At 43.4% G+C, this 17,961-nt stretch overlaps 1 protein-coding gene across 3 annotated transcripts in view, besides 6 other annotated features; it reads right to left on the bottom strand.

Annotated features, from left to right (window-relative positions):
- Positions 1-16,178, bottom strand: part of AUNIP (aurora kinase A and ninein interacting protein) — a 27,552-nt gene extending 11,374 nt beyond the window's left edge. For 2 of the 3 annotated variants that reach the window (NM_001287490.2, NM_024037.3), the window contains exon 1: positions 16,001-16,178. In NM_001287490.2, the coding sequence (NP_001274419.1) occupies positions 16,001-16,078 (78 nt within the window). In that variant the 5' untranslated portion in view covers positions 16,079-16,178. Of the gene's footprint in view, positions 1-10,365; positions 10,571-16,000 lie in introns of those variants that run through there. The other variant, XM_047430116.1, reaches the window with a different exon arrangement.
- Positions 15,833-16,458: an enhancer, noted in NCBI's record as "H3K27ac hESC enhancer chr1:26185603-26186228 (GRCh37/hg19 assembly coordinates)". NCBI's record gives its function as "activates a minimal SCP1, AML or CMV promoter by ChIP-STARR-seq in primed H9 embryonic stem cells {active_cell/tissue: H9 hESC(primed)}" and the evidence as "EXISTENCE:reporter gene assay evidence [ECO:0000049][PMID:30033119]".
- Positions 15,833-17,084: a biological region, named in NCBI's record as "hESC enhancers GRCh37_chr1:26185603-26186228 and GRCh37_chr1:26186229-26186854".
- Positions 16,076-16,335: a silencer, noted in NCBI's record as "silent region_464". NCBI's record gives its function as "represses an Ori minimal core promoter by ATAC-STARR-seq in GM12878 lymphoblastoid cells {active_cell/tissue: GM12878}" and the evidence as "EXISTENCE:reporter gene assay evidence [ECO:0000049][PMID:35858748]".
- Positions 16,356-16,585: an enhancer, noted in NCBI's record as "active region_468". NCBI's record gives its function as "activates an Ori minimal core promoter by ATAC-STARR-seq in GM12878 lymphoblastoid cells {active_cell/tissue: GM12878}" and the evidence as "EXISTENCE:reporter gene assay evidence [ECO:0000049][PMID:35858748]".
- Positions 16,459-17,084: an enhancer, noted in NCBI's record as "H3K27ac-H3K4me1 hESC enhancer chr1:26186229-26186854 (GRCh37/hg19 assembly coordinates)". NCBI's record gives its function as "activates a minimal SCP1, AML or CMV promoter by ChIP-STARR-seq in primed H9 embryonic stem cells {active_cell/tissue: H9 hESC(primed)}" and the evidence as "EXISTENCE:reporter gene assay evidence [ECO:0000049][PMID:30033119]".
- Positions 16,936-16,995: a silencer, noted in NCBI's record as "silent region_465". NCBI's record gives its function as "represses an Ori minimal core promoter by ATAC-STARR-seq in GM12878 lymphoblastoid cells {active_cell/tissue: GM12878}" and the evidence as "EXISTENCE:reporter gene assay evidence [ECO:0000049][PMID:35858748]".

Raw genomic sequence — 17,961 nt, forward strand, 5'->3', positions numbered from 1 at the left:
CTGTTAACACAATATTCATTCTGTAGCCCATGGATCAAAGAGTAATTTCAATTTCTATGTCTTACTATTTAAGAACTACATTTCATAAGGCCACAGGTGCCACAGATAAATCCTGTGATGGATCTGGGCAAAGTAAATTGAAAATCTTCTGAAAAGGATTCACCATTCTAGATGTCAGTAAGAACATTCGTGATTATCTGGCCATGGTGGTGCTGCCTTATAATCTCAGTTACTCAGGAGACTGAGACTAAAGGATCACTTAAGCTCAGGAGTTTGAGATCAGCCTGGGCAAAATAGTGAGCTCCTGTCTGTTTGAAAAAAAAAAAAAAAAAAAAAAAAAAAAAGGGATTCATGATTCATGGGAGGAGGTCAAAATAACACGAATAGAAATTTAGAAGAATTTGATTCCAGCTCTCGTGGATGACTTTGCAGTATTTAAGAGTTCAGTGAAGGAAGTAATTGTAAATGTGATGGAAATAGCAAGAGAACTAGAATTAAAAGTGGACCCTGAAGATGTGACTGAATTGATACACTCTCCCAATAAAAATTTTAATGGATGAGAAATTGCGTCTAATAGATAAGCAAAAAAAAAAGTGGCTTCTTGCAATGGAGTCTACTCCTGGTGAGGATGCCGTGAACATTGTTGAAAAGACAACAAAAAATTTAGAATATTACATAAACTTAATTGAGAAAGCAAAGGCAGGGTTTGAGAGGATTAACTCCAATTTTGAAAGGAGTTTTGTGGGTAAAATGCTATCAAACAGCAACATATGCTGCAGAGAAATCTTCCATGAAAGGAAGAGTCATCGAGGCAGCAAGTTTCATTGTTTTATTTATTTATTTATGTAGACAGTTGCGCTCTTGTTGCCCAGGCTGGAGTGCAGTGGCGCAATCTCGGCTCACTGCAACCTCCACCTCCCGGGTTCAAGCGATTCTCCTGCCTCAGCCTCCTGAGTAGCTGGGATTATAGGTGTGCACCACCATGCCCGGCTAATTTTTGTGTTTTTAGTAGAGACGAGGTTTCACCATGTTGGCCAGAATGGTCTCTTGACCTCATGATCCACCTGCCTCGGCCTCCCAAAGTGCTGGGATTACAGGTGTGAGCCATTGTGCCCGGCCAAGTGTGACCCTTTCTTATGCTCAACAAATCTATTATCAAAAAAGAGCTGGGATCATATACATAACTCCTCTCACTATTAGAAAATGTTCTCATGGTTCCACAGCACTTAAATTAAGTTTAGCTCTTATTTTATCTTTTAACTCTTCCGATAATTTATCTATAAGTTTATCTTAAAGTTTTGCTTCAAACAAATATAATTCCTTTTTTTTTTTCATGATTCACTATGACCTTCAACTCTAGTACATAATTTGATGTAACTTCCTTTTTTCATAATGGTCACTCTGGTCTTAAATTTGTATATGAAGTCTCATGTTCCACCATTGACACACATGAAAGTATTATTCCTTTTGCCACACTCCTTCTTCCTTTATGCTTCCCAGGGCCCCTACTCATTCTCCTCCACTTTTAGAGTCACTGAGAGCATCATCACCAAGTCCCTCTTTCCTTTTAGTCTTTCCCAGCATTAATTTGATGACATTTAGGATGAAAACCTTTCTAGTCAGCACTGTCATGCCTCACTGAGTCAGGTTGAAAGGATGACGCTACCTCATAAGCATGCCCTAAGGAGGATTGTTTAAGAAGTGTTACCAAGAAAAGCTATCAGGGTCTCATCATTATACATCTCCAACAACTTAAGTTAGCTCTGTTGAATTAGTAACCAAGTATTCATTCAAAACTTGCTTCAACTTCAAACCTCTCTTAGTTCTCTGCAGAACTGAAAACACACTACCTTAGTTTAGGATCTCATAAACTCTTGCCTAGCCCTAAACTATGACAATAGTCTCTTAGCTGGTCAGGCCTCCATTCACCACCTATTTCAATTCATCCCCCACATAACTTCTAGATTAATCTCAAAGTACAGCTGTGATCACGTCATCTTGCTCAAAATCTGTCAACAGTTTCTCTATTACCTGTAGCATAAAGTGTAGACTCACACTGCACACATTGATGATTCCAGTTTACCTTTTTCTCTACTACCAAAAGCCCTCCATGCATCCCATAACATAATACTGAACTACATGTCAGTCCCTGCTGATGGCCTCCAATCTCCTCATTTGTATGCCTCACAGAGAAAGGCATTTTTTACACCCAGCTCCAAAACATACTCTTCAGCTTACCACCAAGCATTCCTGATTCCCCCAGCCATGTGTGGTCTCTTCCTCTTCTGAACTGGCCATTTATCACTTGGTGTCTGAAAACTTATCATCCTACAAAATCCCAACATCAGCATGTGATTCACATACCTTTTTCCTATCCTGCACAGAACTTAATATAGCTTAATACACATAATAGGTACTCAATTCAATAAATACTTTAGGAAGGTAGATATGCAGGAAGGATTTCCCGTTTTCATTTTATTTATAGCTACTCATTACATTTTCAGCACAACAGCAATAGTGCTGTCAGAAAACACTAAGGCTTTTCTAATGCTGTGATCCAAGCTAAGATGAGCTCCTGTCACTATAATTGATGTCACAGATAAGGTCCAGAACACAGATGGGATGGAAGCGTACACCCACAGAGAACTATGAAGTTTTCCGTCCCAAAGTAATCTAACAACACAAATTTATTGCAGGAATCTTCTCGAGCACCACTCTGTATTGGTTTTTCATCTAAACCTCATGAAAATTCAACGGGGAAAGGAGAAAAGCAAATTTCTTCTATCACAATTCCTAATTGGAGACCTGATATGTCTACATCCACTGGCATTACTAAGTCTCATAAAAGGGTGCTCCCAGGCCGGGTGCGGCGGCTCACGCCTGTAATCCCAGCACTTTGGGAGGTCAAGGCAGGCAGATCACTTGAGGTAGGAGTTCGAGATCAGCCTGGCCAACATAGTGAAACCTCATCTCTACTAAAAACACAAAAATTAGCCAGGCATGGTGGCGTGCACCTGTAGTCCCAGCTACTTGGGAGGCTGAGGCAGGAGAATCACTTGAACTCAGGAGGTGGAGGCTTCAGTGAGCAGAGATTGGGCCACTGCACTCCAGCGGGCAACAGAGTGAGACTCCATCTCAAAAAAAAAAAAAAAAAAAAAAAAAAGCCAGGTGTGGTGGCTCACACCTGTAATCCTAGCACTTTGGGAAGCCAAGGCGAGCAGATCACCTGTGGTCAGGAGTTCAAGACCAGCCTGGCCAATGTGGTGAAACCCTGTCTCTACTAAAATACAAAAATTAACCAGGCATGATGGCAGATGCCTCTAATCCAAGCTACTCAGGAGGCTGAGACGGGAGAATTGCTTGAACCTGGGAGACAGTGGTTGCGGTGAGATCGCACCACTGCACTCCAGCCTGGGCAGCTAAGCGAGACTCCGTCTCAAAAAAGGGTACTCCCTGCTAATGAGATTTTTTTCACTTAAAGGCCATAATGCATGCATATCAGAGGTCATTGTACATTTACTCTCAGTTTTGCTCTAATAAGGACTACTTATTGAAGATCTGTTTAAATCTTCTCTTATTTTAACTACTTCCATTATAGCAGTGGCTGCATATGGCTCTCTCGGTCACAGAGATGACAGTCCTATAAAAGAAAGACGACCATTGTGCCTCAACTGAAATGCAGTGGAGGAAGAATCCTCACCCTGGAGCAAATCCTGAATCCCCCTGGAAAGTGTTAACTTCAACAGAAGTATTGTAGTATATGGATACAATCAGCAGCTATATACCTATTCTCCCAATTTCCAAATACTATTTCAAGTCACATTTTCTATTTTTATTTTTCTCTGTCCTTTACCTACTCAGCTACCAATTTCCAGCTGCTAAATGTAATCATATGTGAAGATGCAAAAGGGCTTTAAAAGACACTGAGAGCTGGTCCAAATAACTGGACCAAAATTACAGCTTAAAAAACAGTTGTGTTTTTTTTGTTTTGTTTTTTTTTGAGACGGAGTCTCACTCTGTCACCGAGGCTGGACTGCAGTAGCGCGATATTGGCTCACCACAACCTCTGCTTCCTAGGTTCAAGTGATTCTGCTGCCTCAGCCTCCCGTGTAGCTGGGATTACAGGCATGCGCCACGATGCCAGCTAAATTTTTTTTGTATTTTTAGTAGAGATGAGGTTTTACCATGTTGGCCAGGCTGGTCTTAAACTCCTGACCTCAAGTGATCTGCCCACCTCAGCCTCCAAAAGTGCTGGGATTACAGGCATAAACCACCACACCCGACCTTAAAAAACATTTAAGCAATCCCCTACTAAGCCTATTTAGGTCCTTCTTGAGCGTACCTATACTTTTATATAGAGAGAGACTAATAAACCAAAATAAAAATAAACAACTGGCCAGACACAGTGGCTCACACCTGTAATCCCAGCACTTTGGGAGGCACATCACTTGAGCTCAGGAGTTCAAAACCAGCCTGGCCACATGGTGAAACCCAGTCTACCAAAAATACAAAAAAATTAGCCAGGTACAGTGGCGCATGCCTGTGGTCCCTGCTACTTGGGAGGCTGAGGTGAGAGAATCGATTGAGCCCGGGAGGCAGAGGTTGCAGTGAGCCAAGATCACGCCACCGCACTCTAGCCTGGGTGACAGAGTGAGACCCTGTCTCAAAAATAAAATAAAATAAACAACTAAAAATAAACAACTTTCAACTTCTGCCATCCTGGACTAAGCCCTTGTTATTTCTTACCTAAACTTCAGCAGTATCCTCCAAATTCCTCTAGCCTACCTGTCAGGATACTACACACTCTCAAATAACCACTAATGGGTTAATCTTCTTAAGAGATAGCTCCCATGACAACAAACGCCTTCCATCAATTTCCAACAACATAGCACTAGTTTACCCTCCTAAGCTCACCTTCAACTCCAGGGAATAGTCTACACTTTAGCCAAATTGAATTATTCCCTATGTAGTAAAGAATCTTGGCCAGGTGCGGTGGCTCGTGCCTGTAATCCCAACACAGTAAGACCCCGTCTCTACAAAAATTACAAAAATAATTAGCCTGGGTTGGTGGTGCACGCCTGTAATCCAGCTACATGAAAGGCTGAGGCAGGAGAATCGCTTGAACCCAGGAGGCGGAGGTCGCAGTGAGTTGAGATCGTGCCATTGCACTCCAGCCCGGGCAAAAATTTTTGAAACTCCGTCTCAAAAAAAAAAAAAAAAAAAAAAAGAATCTTATGCAAGGAGAGGCCTGGCAGCTCCTGAGAGATAATCTCTAAATCCTTGGAATGTCCCACCTGATAGGAGTGTTTTGTTTTGTTTTTTAACCTGGGAGCTTTGGGCCACACCAAATAATCTGTGCTAACAATGTGATTTATGGAGGGGTCTTCAGGCCATGCATTAACAGCATGACCTCTATAAGGGCTGAAAACTAAAGTCAGCAGGAAGGTGAGTCAACCACATGCATGTGACTAAGCCCCCAAAACAACTCTGGATATCAAGGCTCAGTTAAGCTTCCATGATTGGCAGTACTCTGTGTGTACTGTTACATATCACTGCTGAGAGCAGTTGGCATTGTCTGTTTCTTCACTAGGAGGACACCGGAAGATTTAGGCTTGGGATTCTCCCAGACTTGGCTCTCTATACCCCTGCCATTGGCTGATTTTCATTTGTGTCTCCTCACTGCAATAAACTGTAACCATAACAGCTTTCAGTGACTTCTGTGAGTACTTCTAGCAAATTATGAAACCTGAGAATGGTTCTGGGGACCCCCAAACTTGAAGTTGCTGTCAAAAATTATGGTGGTCTTCAAGACTCCTTAACTTTTATTTCGTGTTTCACAAACATCCCTTATACTTCCTGCTTCTGTGGCACTATTCATAATGTCCCACTGCACTCCCATTTCCAACCAAATCTGGCCCTTCATTTAAGGTCTAACTCTTCCACAAAGCGTCTTTCTTTTCATTTTAACAGCTTTATTAATAGAGATACAATTCACATACCATAAAATTTGCCCATTTAAGTATACAGTTAAGTTTTAGTATACTTATGAAGTTGTGTAATTATCACCGAATCTAACTTTAGAACAGTTCTCATTTCCCCCAAAAGAAACCCTCTAGCCTTAGCAGTCATTCCTCATTCCCATCCCACCCCAGGCCCAGAAAATCACTTACTTTCTTTTCTACAGATTTGCCTATTCTGGGCCTTTTATGTGTCATACAATATCTGGTCTTTTGTGACTGGCTTCTTTCACTGAGCCTAATGCTTGGAGGTCCATCCATGTTGTAGCATGTATCAATACTTCACTCTTTTTTATTGCCAAATAATATTCCATTATATAGATATACCATTTTGTGTTATTTTGTTTGTTTGTTTGAGACAGGGTCTTATTCTGTCACCTAGGCTGGAGTGCAGCTACGCAATCTTGGCTCACTGCAACCTCTGCCTCCTGGGTTCAAGCAATTCTTCTGCCTCAGTCTCCTGAGCAGCTGGAATTACAGGTGCCTGCCACCATGCCTGGCTAAGTTTTGTATTTTTTTAGTAGAGACGGGGTTTCATCATATTGGCCAGGCTGGTCTTGAACTCCTGACCTCAAGTGATCTGCCCCATCTCAGCCTCCCAAAGTGCTGGGATTACAGGCGTGAGCCACTGCACTCAACCCTAGATATACCATTTTGTTTACCAGTTGATGTTCATCAGTTGATGACTACTTGGATTGTTTCCACTTTTTGGCTATTATGAGAAACGCTGCTAAGAACATTTGTGTGCAAGTTTTTGTGCAGACATACGTTTTCCTATCTCTCGGGGGTACATACTTAAATGGGCAAATTTTATGGTATATGAATCATATCTCAATAAAGCTATGATCACATCAGCACTCTGGGTGTGATCATAGCACTCCAGTCTGGGTAACAAATTGAGACCCTGATTCTAAAAACAACAACAACAACAACAACAAAACAACTGACCATAAATACAAGGGTTTACTTCTGGACTTTCAATTCCTTTGATCTATAATGTGTCTACCTTTATGACAGTATCAAACCATCTTAAGTACTGTAACTGTATAGTAATTTTGAAATCAGTACATGTGATTCCTCCAACTTTGTTACTCTTCAAGCTTGTTTTGGCTTTTCTAGATCCCTCGGATGTCATGAATTTCTGGATCAGACTGTCAGTATCTGCAAAAAGGACAACTGAGATGTTGATAAGGACTGCACTGATTCTGTAGATCAATTGGGGCATATTCCTATCTTAAGTCTTCTGATCAATGAACATGTAATGTCTTTCCATTATTTACATTTTTAATTTCTTTCAATGAGTTTTATAGTTTCCAGTGTATGTCTTGCACTGTTTTGTTAAATTTATGCCTAAGTATTTTATTCTATTTGATTCTATTGTAAATGAAATTATTTCCTTAGTTTCATTTTTTGGATAAAATCCTACCATACGGAAGTACAATTGATTTTTGTATCCTGTCACACTGCTGAACTCATTTTTTCTAATTTTTTTAAGTGGATTCCTTAGGATTTTCTACACATAAGATCATATTTTCTGCAAACAGATAATTTTACTTCTTCCTTTTTAATCTGGGTATCTTTTATTTCTTTTTCTTGCTAAATTTCCCTGCATAAAATCTCTAGTGCAATGGTAAACAGAGTGGCAAGATCTTTGTCTTGTTGCTGATTTAGGAGTGGAAACATTCAGTCTTCTTCCATTAAGTATGATGTTAACTGGGTTTTCATAGATGCCCTTTGTGAGGCTGAGAAAATTCCCTTTTATTCCTGGTCTGTTGAGTGTTTTAATCACAAAATGATGTCAGTCAAAATGCTTTTTCTGTGTCTATTGACATGATTATGTGGTTTTTGTCTTTTATGCTATTAGTATGGTATATTAATTGGTTTTCAAATTTAAACCAACCTTGCATTCCTAAGATAAATTCCTCTTGGTCATGATTTATAATCCTTTTTATGTGTTGCTAAATTTGTTTTGCTTGTATTTTGTTGAGTATTTTTGTATCTGTATTCATAAAGGATACCAGACCATAATTTCCTTTTCTTGTGATATCTTGGTCTAGTTTTAGTATCAGAGTAATACTGGCCTCAAAATGAGTTGGAAAGTGTTCCCTCCTCTTCTATTCTATTTTTTTGAGAGAGTCTGAAGGATTGGTATAATTCTTTAAATGTTTGGTAGAATTCACCAGAGAAACTATCTGGACCTGGACTTTTCTTTGCAGGAAGTTTTAAAATTACTAATTCAATCTCTTCGTTATAGGTCTATAGACCAAAGGAATTGAACTGAAAGTCCAGAAGTAAACCCTTACATTTACAGTCAGTTGATTTTTATCTATTTCTTCTTGAGGCAAGTTTGGTAGTCTGTGACTTCCTAGGAATTTGTCCATTTCATCTAAGTTATCTAAATGTGTTAGCATACAGTTGTTTATAGTATTCTAATTATTTTTATCTCTTTATTTTCTTTTTTAGACAGTCTCACTCTGTCGCCCAGGCTGGAATGCAGTGGCACAATCTCGGCTCACTGCAACCTGTCTCCCGGGTTCAAGTGATTCTCCTGCCTCAGCCTCCCGAGTAGCTGGGACTACAGGCACACACCAACATAACTGGCTAATTTCTGTATTTTTAGTAGAGATAGGGTTTTTTCAGCCACCTCACCTGGCCTCTTGCTGACTGACTGATTGAGACAGGGTGTCACTCTCTTACCCAGGCTGGAGTGCAGTGGCTCAATCACCGCTCAGTGCAGCCTCAACCTCCCTGGGTTCAGTGATCCTTACACCTCAGCCTCCTGAGTAGCTGGAACTACAGGCATGTACCACCACATCAGGCTAATTTTTGTATTTTTTGGTAGAGATAGGGTCTCCCTATGTTGCCCAGGCTGGTCTTGAACTCCTGGGTTCAGGGGATCCTCCCACCTCAGCCTCCTAAAATGCTGGGATTATAGGTGTGAGCCACTGTGCTCTCTTTTATTCTTGATCAGTCTAGCTAAAGGTGTGTTGAGTTTGTTGATCTTTGCAAAGAACCAACTTTTGATGTTGATTGTTTTTCTTTACTATTTATTTTCACTCTAAATTGTATTATTTCCTTCCTTCTGGTCACTATGGGTTTAGATTGCTCTTCTTTTTCTAGTTTCTTAAGGTAGAAGATTAGATTATTTAAGGTTTTTTTTTTTGTTGTTTTTTTTTTTGAGACAGGAGTTTCACTCTTGTTGCCCAGGCTGGAGTTCACTGCAACCTCCGCCTCCTGGGTTCAAGCAGTTCTCCTGCCTCAGCCTCCTGAGTAGCTGGGATTACAGGCGCCTGCCACCACGCACAGCTAATTTTGGTATTTTTAGTAGAGACAGGGTTTCGCCGTGTTGGCCAGGTTGGTCTTAAACTCCTGACCTCGGGTGATCCACCCACCTCAGCCTCCCAAACTGTTGGGATTACAGGTGTGAGCCACTGCGCCTGGCCGAGATTCTTTTTAATAAAAGCATTTACAGCTATACATATCCCTCTAAGCATAGTGTTAGTTGCATCCCATAAATCTTGGTGCATTATATTTTTGTTTTCATTTATCTCAAAGTACTTTCTATTATAATTTTCCTTTTGATTTCTTCTTTGACTCTTGGTTATTTAGAAATGTGCTGTTTAATTTCAACCTATTTGTGGATTTTCTACTTTTTCTTCTGTTACTGATTTCTACTTTCATTCCATTATGGAGAATATACTTTGTATGATTTCCATCTTTCTAAATTTATTGAGATTTGTTTTGTGACCTAGTATTTGTGGAGAATGTTCCATGTGTCATGGAGAAGACTATGTATTCTGCTGTTGTTGGGTAGACTGTTCTATATTTTTGTCTGTTAGGTCTACCTGGTTTATAGTATTGTTCAAATCTTTTTTCCTTGTTGATATCCATGATTGAAAGTGGGTATTAAAGTTTCCAAATATTGTTCACAAAATCTTTCTTAATATTAGCTGTATTAGTGTTGTATTGCTTTGTAACGAATTACCACAAAACTTAGAAGCTTAAAACAATAAACATTCGGCCGGCGTGGTGGCTCATGCCTGTAATCCCAGCACTTTGGGTGGCGGAGGCAGGTGGATCACCTGAGGTCAGGAGTTTGAGAACAGCCTGACCAACATGGTGAAATCTCATCTCTACTAAAAATACCAAAATTAGCCAGGTGTGGTGGTGGGCGCCTGTAATTCCAGCTACTAAGGAGGGTGAGGCAGGAGAATCGTCTGAACCCATGAGTCAAAGTTTGCAGCGAGCTGAGATCGTGCCACTGCACCCCAGCCTGTGTGACAGAGCAACTCTGTCTCAAAAAACAAACAAACAAACAAAAACAAAACAAAAAACATTAATCTCACACAGCTTCTCAGGGTGGTTAGCTTGGTGGTTCTGGCTCAGGGTCTCTCATGAGGTTGCATTCATGATGTTGGCTCAGGCTACAATCATCTGAAGCCTTAACTGGGGCTGAAAGGATCCACTTCCAAGATAGCTCACTAACATGGCTGTTAACAGGCTTCATGTAGCAACATGGAAGCTAGCTTTTCCCAGAGTGAGCAATCAAAAGAGGTCACAAAGCCATTTATGACCCAATCTGAAAAAGTCACACACCATCAGTTCCCGCAATATTCTATTCATTAGAAGCAAGTTACGGCCCGGCGCAGTGGCTCACGCCTGTAATCCCTTTGGGAGGCCAAGGCAGGTAGATCACCTGAGGTCAGGAGTTTGAGACCAGTCTAGCCAACATGGTAAAACCCCGTCTGTACTAAAAATACAAAAATTAGCCGGGCATAGTGGTGCACGCCTGTAATCCCAGTTACTCATAAGGTGAGGCAGGAGAACTGCTTCAACCCAGCAGGTGGAGGTTGCAGTGAGCCAAGATCATGCCACTGCACTCCAGTCTAGGCAACAGAGTAAGACTCCATCTCAAAAAAATAAACAAACAAATAAATAAATAAATAGCAAGTTACCAAGTCCAATCCAAACATAAAGGCAGGAGAATGAAGCTCCACCTCTTGAAGGGAAGAGTGTGGACATATTTTGAAACCATCACAGTCCACCTTCTGGCCCAAATTACTTACATTCTTCCCATATGCAAAATATACTCCCTCCCTCCCAAAACTCTACAAAAATCTCATCTCTTTATAGCATTAGCTTAATATCAAGGATACTAGCATCTAAAACAGGTACATGTGAAGTCCAAAAATGTAGTTTAAATACAGTTCCTTTAGATCTGCAGGCCTGTGAACTAAAGACAAATTATCTTCCCTCATACATCTAACATACAATTTGGAACGGGCATAACTGTTACAGACATTATGTTCAAAAAGGGGGAGATAAGAGGTATAAGTGGGTCACCAGTCTGAAATCCAGCCAGGCATTTATTATCTCACAACTTCTGTGCATGAAGAATTTGGGTTAAGCCTAGATGGGTGGGTCTGTCTCACAGTCTAGTGAGGTTGCATTCAAAATATCAACTAGAGGTGCGGTATCCAATTTCAAGATGACTCCCTCACTCACACAACTGTTGGCAAAAGGCCTCAGCTCCTCACTGCATGAACCTCTCCACAGAGCTGCTTGAGTGTCCTCACAACATGACAGCTGGCTTCTCCCAAAGAGACAATGAAGCTAAAGCTGCAATGTCATTTATGACCTAGATTCAGAATTCTTTCTTTTTTTTTTTTTTTTTTTTTGAGATGGGGTCTCACTCTATCACCCAGTCTGGAGTGCAGTGGCGCAACCTTGGCTCACTGCAACCTCCACCTTCTGGCTTCAAGCAATTCTCCTGCCTCAGCCTCCTGAGTAGCTGGGATTATAGGCACCCGTCACCAAGCCTGGCTAATTTTAGTATTTTCAGTAGAGATGGGGTTTCACCATGTTGGCCAGGCTTAGACTCAGAATTCTAACACTATAACCTACCACATTCTATTCATTGGAGTCACTAAATACTGTCTGTGCTCAAGGAAAGGGGAATTAAGTTCTTTTAGAAGGAAAAGTACTGAAGAATTTGTGGACGTACATTAAAACTGCCACACTCCTCCGCCCATGATAAACTTTTTTTATTTTTTGTGGAGTTGGGGTCTCATTATATTGCCCAGGCTGGTCCCAAATTCCTGGCTTCCCAAAGTGCTGAGCTTCCCAAAGTGCTGAGATTACAGGCACGAGCCACAGTCCTGTTTAATTTTTTTTAAACAAACATATATTATTTTCATAATATAAAAACAAAATGAAAGCAAATCTAGTATACATACAAGGCCTAAGTAACGAGGCCAAATGGGTAGTTCAAATTAGGAGAGAAGCAAACTCACTCCAAACATAGACTACTATTGTCTACTGGCCAGACTACAAACTACTCATTCTCTCAAAAATAGCAAACCATTCTGTTTAGAGATCAAGGGGGAAGAGGCATGTTTTCAAAAACACAGACACTAGGTACTGCCCATCCATCCCTGACATTAAAACTCAAAGGACTGTATGCCTATTTGATAGCCACTCTAGGAAGAGGCACCTTGTGAAAGGGAATCTTTAGTACTCTTCTCTGGGTTGGAAGTCAGAGTAATAGTTAATAGTCAGGAACCAAAGATTTTAACAAGTATCTTTGGGAATCAAGTAACAAGAAGGAGAAATGGTGTTAGTGAGTATGGTCATAAGGTCCAGGCCTCTAGAAATCAGAATAAGTTAAGGGCCTAGAGATCCTGGAGGATTCTATAACTGTCATGTACTACATCAACAAGACAAATGTTTTCACCATAACATTGCCAGGGAAAAAGGCAGGATTTGGGGGTATAAGAATTATAGACAGACCAGGCACGGTGGCTCATGCCTGTAATCCCAGCACTTTGGGAGGCTGAGGCAGGTGGATCACTTGAGGCCAGGAGTTCGAGACCAGCCTGGTCAACATGGTGAAACCCTGTCTCTACTAAAAATACAAAAATTAGCCAGGTATGGTGGCACACGCCTGTAATCCCAGCTACTCATGAGGCTGAGGCAGAGAATCGCTTGAATCTGGGAGGCAGAGGCTGCAGTGACCCGAGATCATGCCACTACACTCCAGCCTGGGTGACAGAGCAAGACTCCATCTCAAAAAAAAAAAAACAAAACAAACAATAAAACAAGATTAGGCTGGGCGTAGTGGCTCACGCCTGTAATCCCAGGAGGCCGAGGCAGGTGGATCACCTCAGGTTGGGAGTTCAAGACCAGCCTAACCAACATGGAGAAACCCCGTCTCTACTAAAAATACAAATTCACCTGGGCAAGGTGGTGCATGCCTGTAATCCCAGCTACTCTGGAGACTGAGGCAGGGGAACTGCTTGAACCCAGGAGGTGGAGGTTGCAGTGAGCTGAGATCGCACCACTGCACTCCAGCCCGGGCAACAAGAGCAAGACTCCATTTCGGAAAACAACAACAACAACAACAACAACAAAACAGAATTATAGACAGAGAGACAAATATTGGCTCTCCTCTTCCCTGTGGAATATTCCCTTTCTCGCTCTCCTGAACTCTTCCTAATTCTATTTCTGTTCTCTTTCTAAATTAAACTGGTGGCTGGGTGCAGTGGCTCACACCTGTAATCCCAGCACTTTGAGAAGCCACGGTGGGCAGATCACTTGAGCTCAGGAGTTCAAGACCAGCCTAGGTAACACAGCGAAACCCCGTCTCTACAAAAAAAAAAAATACAAAAAATGAGCTGGGCTTTGTGGCACTATGCCTGTAGTCCCAGCTACTCGGGAGGATGAGGCAAGAGGATCACCTGGAGCCCGGGGGCGTTGAGGCTGTAGGTAGTCGTGATTACGCCACCGCACTCTAGCCTGGGTGACGGACTGAGGCCTGTCTCCAAAATTAACTAACAAATCAAAGTGGTATACAAGTTTCCCACGCATCCCATGTCATTCAAGAATGTATTCAAAGGGTACAAATGGCTTATTCCTAATTCAAGGAGTAATAAATAGCTATTGCACATTTTGATTTTTTTTTTTTTTTTTTTGAGACTGAGTCTTCTGTCACCCAGGCTGGAGTGCAGTGGCACGATCTCGGCTCACTGCAACCTCCACCTCCTGGGTTCAAGCAATTCTCCTGTCTCAGCCTCCCGAGTAGCTGGGATTACAGGTACCTGCCACCACGCCCAGCAAATTTTTGTATTTTTTATAGGAGAGACGGGGTTTCACCATGTTGGCCAGGCCGGTCTCGAACTCCTGACCTCAGGTGATCCGCCCGCCTCGGCCTCCCAAAGTACTAGGATTACAGGCGTGAGCCACCGCACCCGGCCATTTTGATAATTTTTGAAAAAATAAAACAATCGGCCAGGCACGGTAGCTCAAGCCTGTAATCTCAGCACTTTGGGAGGCCGAGACGGGCGGATCACTTGAGGTCAGGAGTTCAAGACCAGCCTGGCCAACATAGTGAAACCCTGTCTCTACTAAAAATACAAAAATCAGCCGAGCGTAGTGGCGGGCGCCTGTAGTCCCAGCTACTCGGGAGGCTGAGGCGGAAGAATCGCTTGAACCCGGGAGGCAGAGGTTGCAGTGAGCTTAGATCGCGCCACTGCACTCCAGCACGAGCAACAAGAGTGAAACTCCATCTCAAAAATAACAATAATAATAATATGCCGGGCGCAGTGGCTCACGCCTGTAATCCCAGCACTCTGGGAGGCTGAGGCGGGCAGATCACGAGGTCAGGAGAGCGAGACCATCCTGGCTAACACGGTGAAAACCTGTCTCTACTAAAAATACAAAAAATTAGCCGGGCGTGGTGGTGGCCGCCTGTAGTCCCAGCTACTCAGGAGGCTGAGGCAGGAGAATGGCGTGAACCCCGGAGGTGGGGCTTGCAGGGAACTGAGATTGTGTCACTGCACTCCAGCCTGGGCGACAGAGCAAGACTCCATCTCAAAAAATAATAATAATAAATAATAATAATAAAATGATCAAATTTCTTATCTATAAAACCAGGATAATGACAAAATCTACTTTACTGAATTTTGGTGAGTACCTGCCATTGATAAAGTGTATAAAGTCTCGGCAAAATGCCTGACACATAGAAAGCACTCAATAAAGGTTAGGTATTGTTGTTATTATTTATACACCTCTTTTCTTCCCTATAAGACTGTGAGCAACCTGAGAGCAAGAATCTTGCCCCTAGTGTCTGTTTTGAGCCTGTTTTCCGTATGTAAAATGGGTATCATTACACTATCTACCATATAGAATTGTACCAAACAAGGTAACATACCTAAAACACTTAGCACCAGCATAAAATGCTCAATAAACATGAATGATTATTATGTCGCACTTTTGTTTCTTTACAGTGACTGAAGAGCATCTTGCCTAGGTGACAGACCTGAATGTGATTTCCAGCTCCTTCTAGTTAGGCGGGCCTAGGTTAGTTACTGAACCTCAGTTTCCTCATTCCCAGCAAGAATGACGACACATATAACGCATATTCAGTATCTAATGCAGTATCCGGCACCCAGTGACTGCTCAGTACATAGGAGGCCAGCTCCCCTTCCCATAGCTTCTACTTTTCCCCTCAAAGTTACCGGTTCTGGGCAGGTAGTTGGCCTGCAACTTGGCAAATTGGGTGGAAACAGACCCCGGGGTGAGAATTTCCCCAATTTGCATTCGCATCCATCTCCCAATGCTCCAGCCTCTACTAGGACGTCTCGCAGGGACTGTGGCCTCCTAGGGAGCCTGGTCAGTTCAACTGCTCCGAGCGAACTTTCCCTCCGCCTCTCCCACACCTGAACCTTCGCCGCCCCTCCCTGCGCACCGCTCCTCCAGACCCCCCAACAGCACGCTCTTTCCTTCCGTCCCTCCCATCCTCCCCAAGCCCCGTTTTTCAACCTTCTTCAGACCACAATCCCTCTCGCCTGTGAATCCCCAACGCTGTTCCCTTCTCTGTCCCCGACTTCGCTTTCATCATCTCCAGGTGTCCCCCAAACTCCTCCCGTCTTACGCCTCCAGGCCCTACCTGGTTCCCAACGCCCTCTCATCCCCCAGCGTCCCACCTGCACTTTCCGCCTCTTCAGCGCCGCCGCGTCCAGCCACACGCCGCAGGCCTCCTCCTCGGGGCCTGTCCGCCTCATGGCCGCTGAGGAGACGAAGCCGGCAGGACGCCGGCGCAGGCTCCCGGCGCCTCAGGGAACGCCAGAACCGCGGCCGCCGACGTTCGGATCTCGCGCCAACGCTGGGGGCGGGGCTACGTCGCGACCGCCCCGGGCGCCAGCCCCGCCCCGGCAAGGCCCTGGCCCCCTTCGCTGTGCCCCGCCCACGCACTAACTTTCGCGGCCGGTCCCTTGAGTGCGTGCGGCATATTTCCCTGCGCGGAGGAGTGCGTGTTCTTTCTGATCCGCTCTTTCAAGAGCGGATTCGGAAGCTGCTGTGTGAACGGTTCTCGACAGCCTCAGAAATGTACATTTTCTTTTTGCTGTATTGAAAATTTCTTACAGTATTTCCCGGGCTTAGGAATTTGTTCGTGTCATCGCTGAATCTTCGCGATCACCCCCAGAAGGAAGTGGCTGAGCCGAGATCAGGCCCGTCGACTCCAGACCAGGGGTCCTCGACCTAAGTGGTTACCAGACACTCGAGTGTGCGAACAACTTTGGTAATTTTTTTTTTTTAATGTAAGCGTAACTACGAAGCCACATGGGAGAGGATTTTGAAGAGGTTAAAATTTGGGGTCAGGAACTAGATTTCAGTCCTGCTTTCACCGTTTACTGTGCCTTGGATTTTAAAGAGGATCAAATGAGGTTGTGAAAGTACTTTGTGAATTCAGAAAACCCCTTGGAAATGCAAAAATGTTGGCACCCCCACCCATCCTTCCGTCCCTAACCACAATCTCCATAGATGGAATATATGTACATTATACGTAATGTTTACATATTGTATATGTAAAAAAAATTTTTTTTTGAGACGGAGTCTCACTGTCGCCCAGGCTGGAGTGCAGTGGCGCTATCTCGGCTCACTGCAGCCCCGCCTCCTGGGTTCAAGCGGTTCTTCTGTCTCAGCCTCCCTAGTAGCTGGAAGTACAGGCGCACGCCACCACACCCAGCTAATTTTTGTATTTTTAGTAGAGACGGGGTTTCACCATTGGCCAGGCTGGTCTCGAACTCCTGACCTCGTGATACGCCTGCCTCAGCCTCCCAAAGTGCTGGGATTACAGGCATGAGCCACCGCGCCCGGCCAAAAATTTTGTAATTTTTTTTTTTTGGTGGAGGGAGGATAGAAGCTCAGCCACCTCTTGCCCAGTCTGCAGCAGGTCAGCCAGGAACCTCAACCATCTCTGCAGCCAGAGCCTGTCTTCATGGTGGACAGAGCCATCTCGCTTTGTCACCCAGGCTCGGGTACAGTGGCACAGTCTCAGCTCACTGCAGCCTCAACCTCTTGGGCTCAAGCGATCCTGCCACCTCAGCCTCCCAAGTAGCTGGGACTACAGGTGTGTGCCACCACGCCTGGCTAATTTTTGTATTTTTAGTAGAGATGGGTTTTCGCCATGTTGGCCAGACTGGTCTCAACTTCCTGCCCTCAGGTGATATGCCTGCCTCAGCCTCCCAAAGTGCTGGGATTACAAGCGTGAGTCACCATGCCTGGCCTATATCAAAATATTTATTTATATACACATATTTTATGTGTGTGTGTGTGTGTGTGTGTGTGTGTGTGTGTGTGTGTATTTCATAAGGTCCCCCATGATATTTCAGCAGTGAAGTGATATTTCTAATTAATTTGGGTTTTCTTATCTTCCCAATTTTCCTTCATTGTATATATATTGCTGTGTACTATGGAAAAAGCAATATTATAAAAGTTAACATACTTCTTCGGTGCGCATGCGACGAGGCTCAATATGTGTGGTGGAGTGTGCACGCCCCTGCCCCCTCCACTAAAAACAAAACAAAAAAACCCTCCTTAATTGAAGGAAAAACCAAACAAAAAAAGTCTTTGTCAGATCATAAAGTGGGATTATCATATTTTA

This window comes from Homo sapiens, chromosome 1 (genome assembly GCF_000001405.40).
Source record: "Homo sapiens chromosome 1, GRCh38.p14 Primary Assembly".
Taxonomy (NCBI): domain Eukaryota; kingdom Metazoa; phylum Chordata; class Mammalia; order Primates; family Hominidae; genus Homo; species Homo sapiens.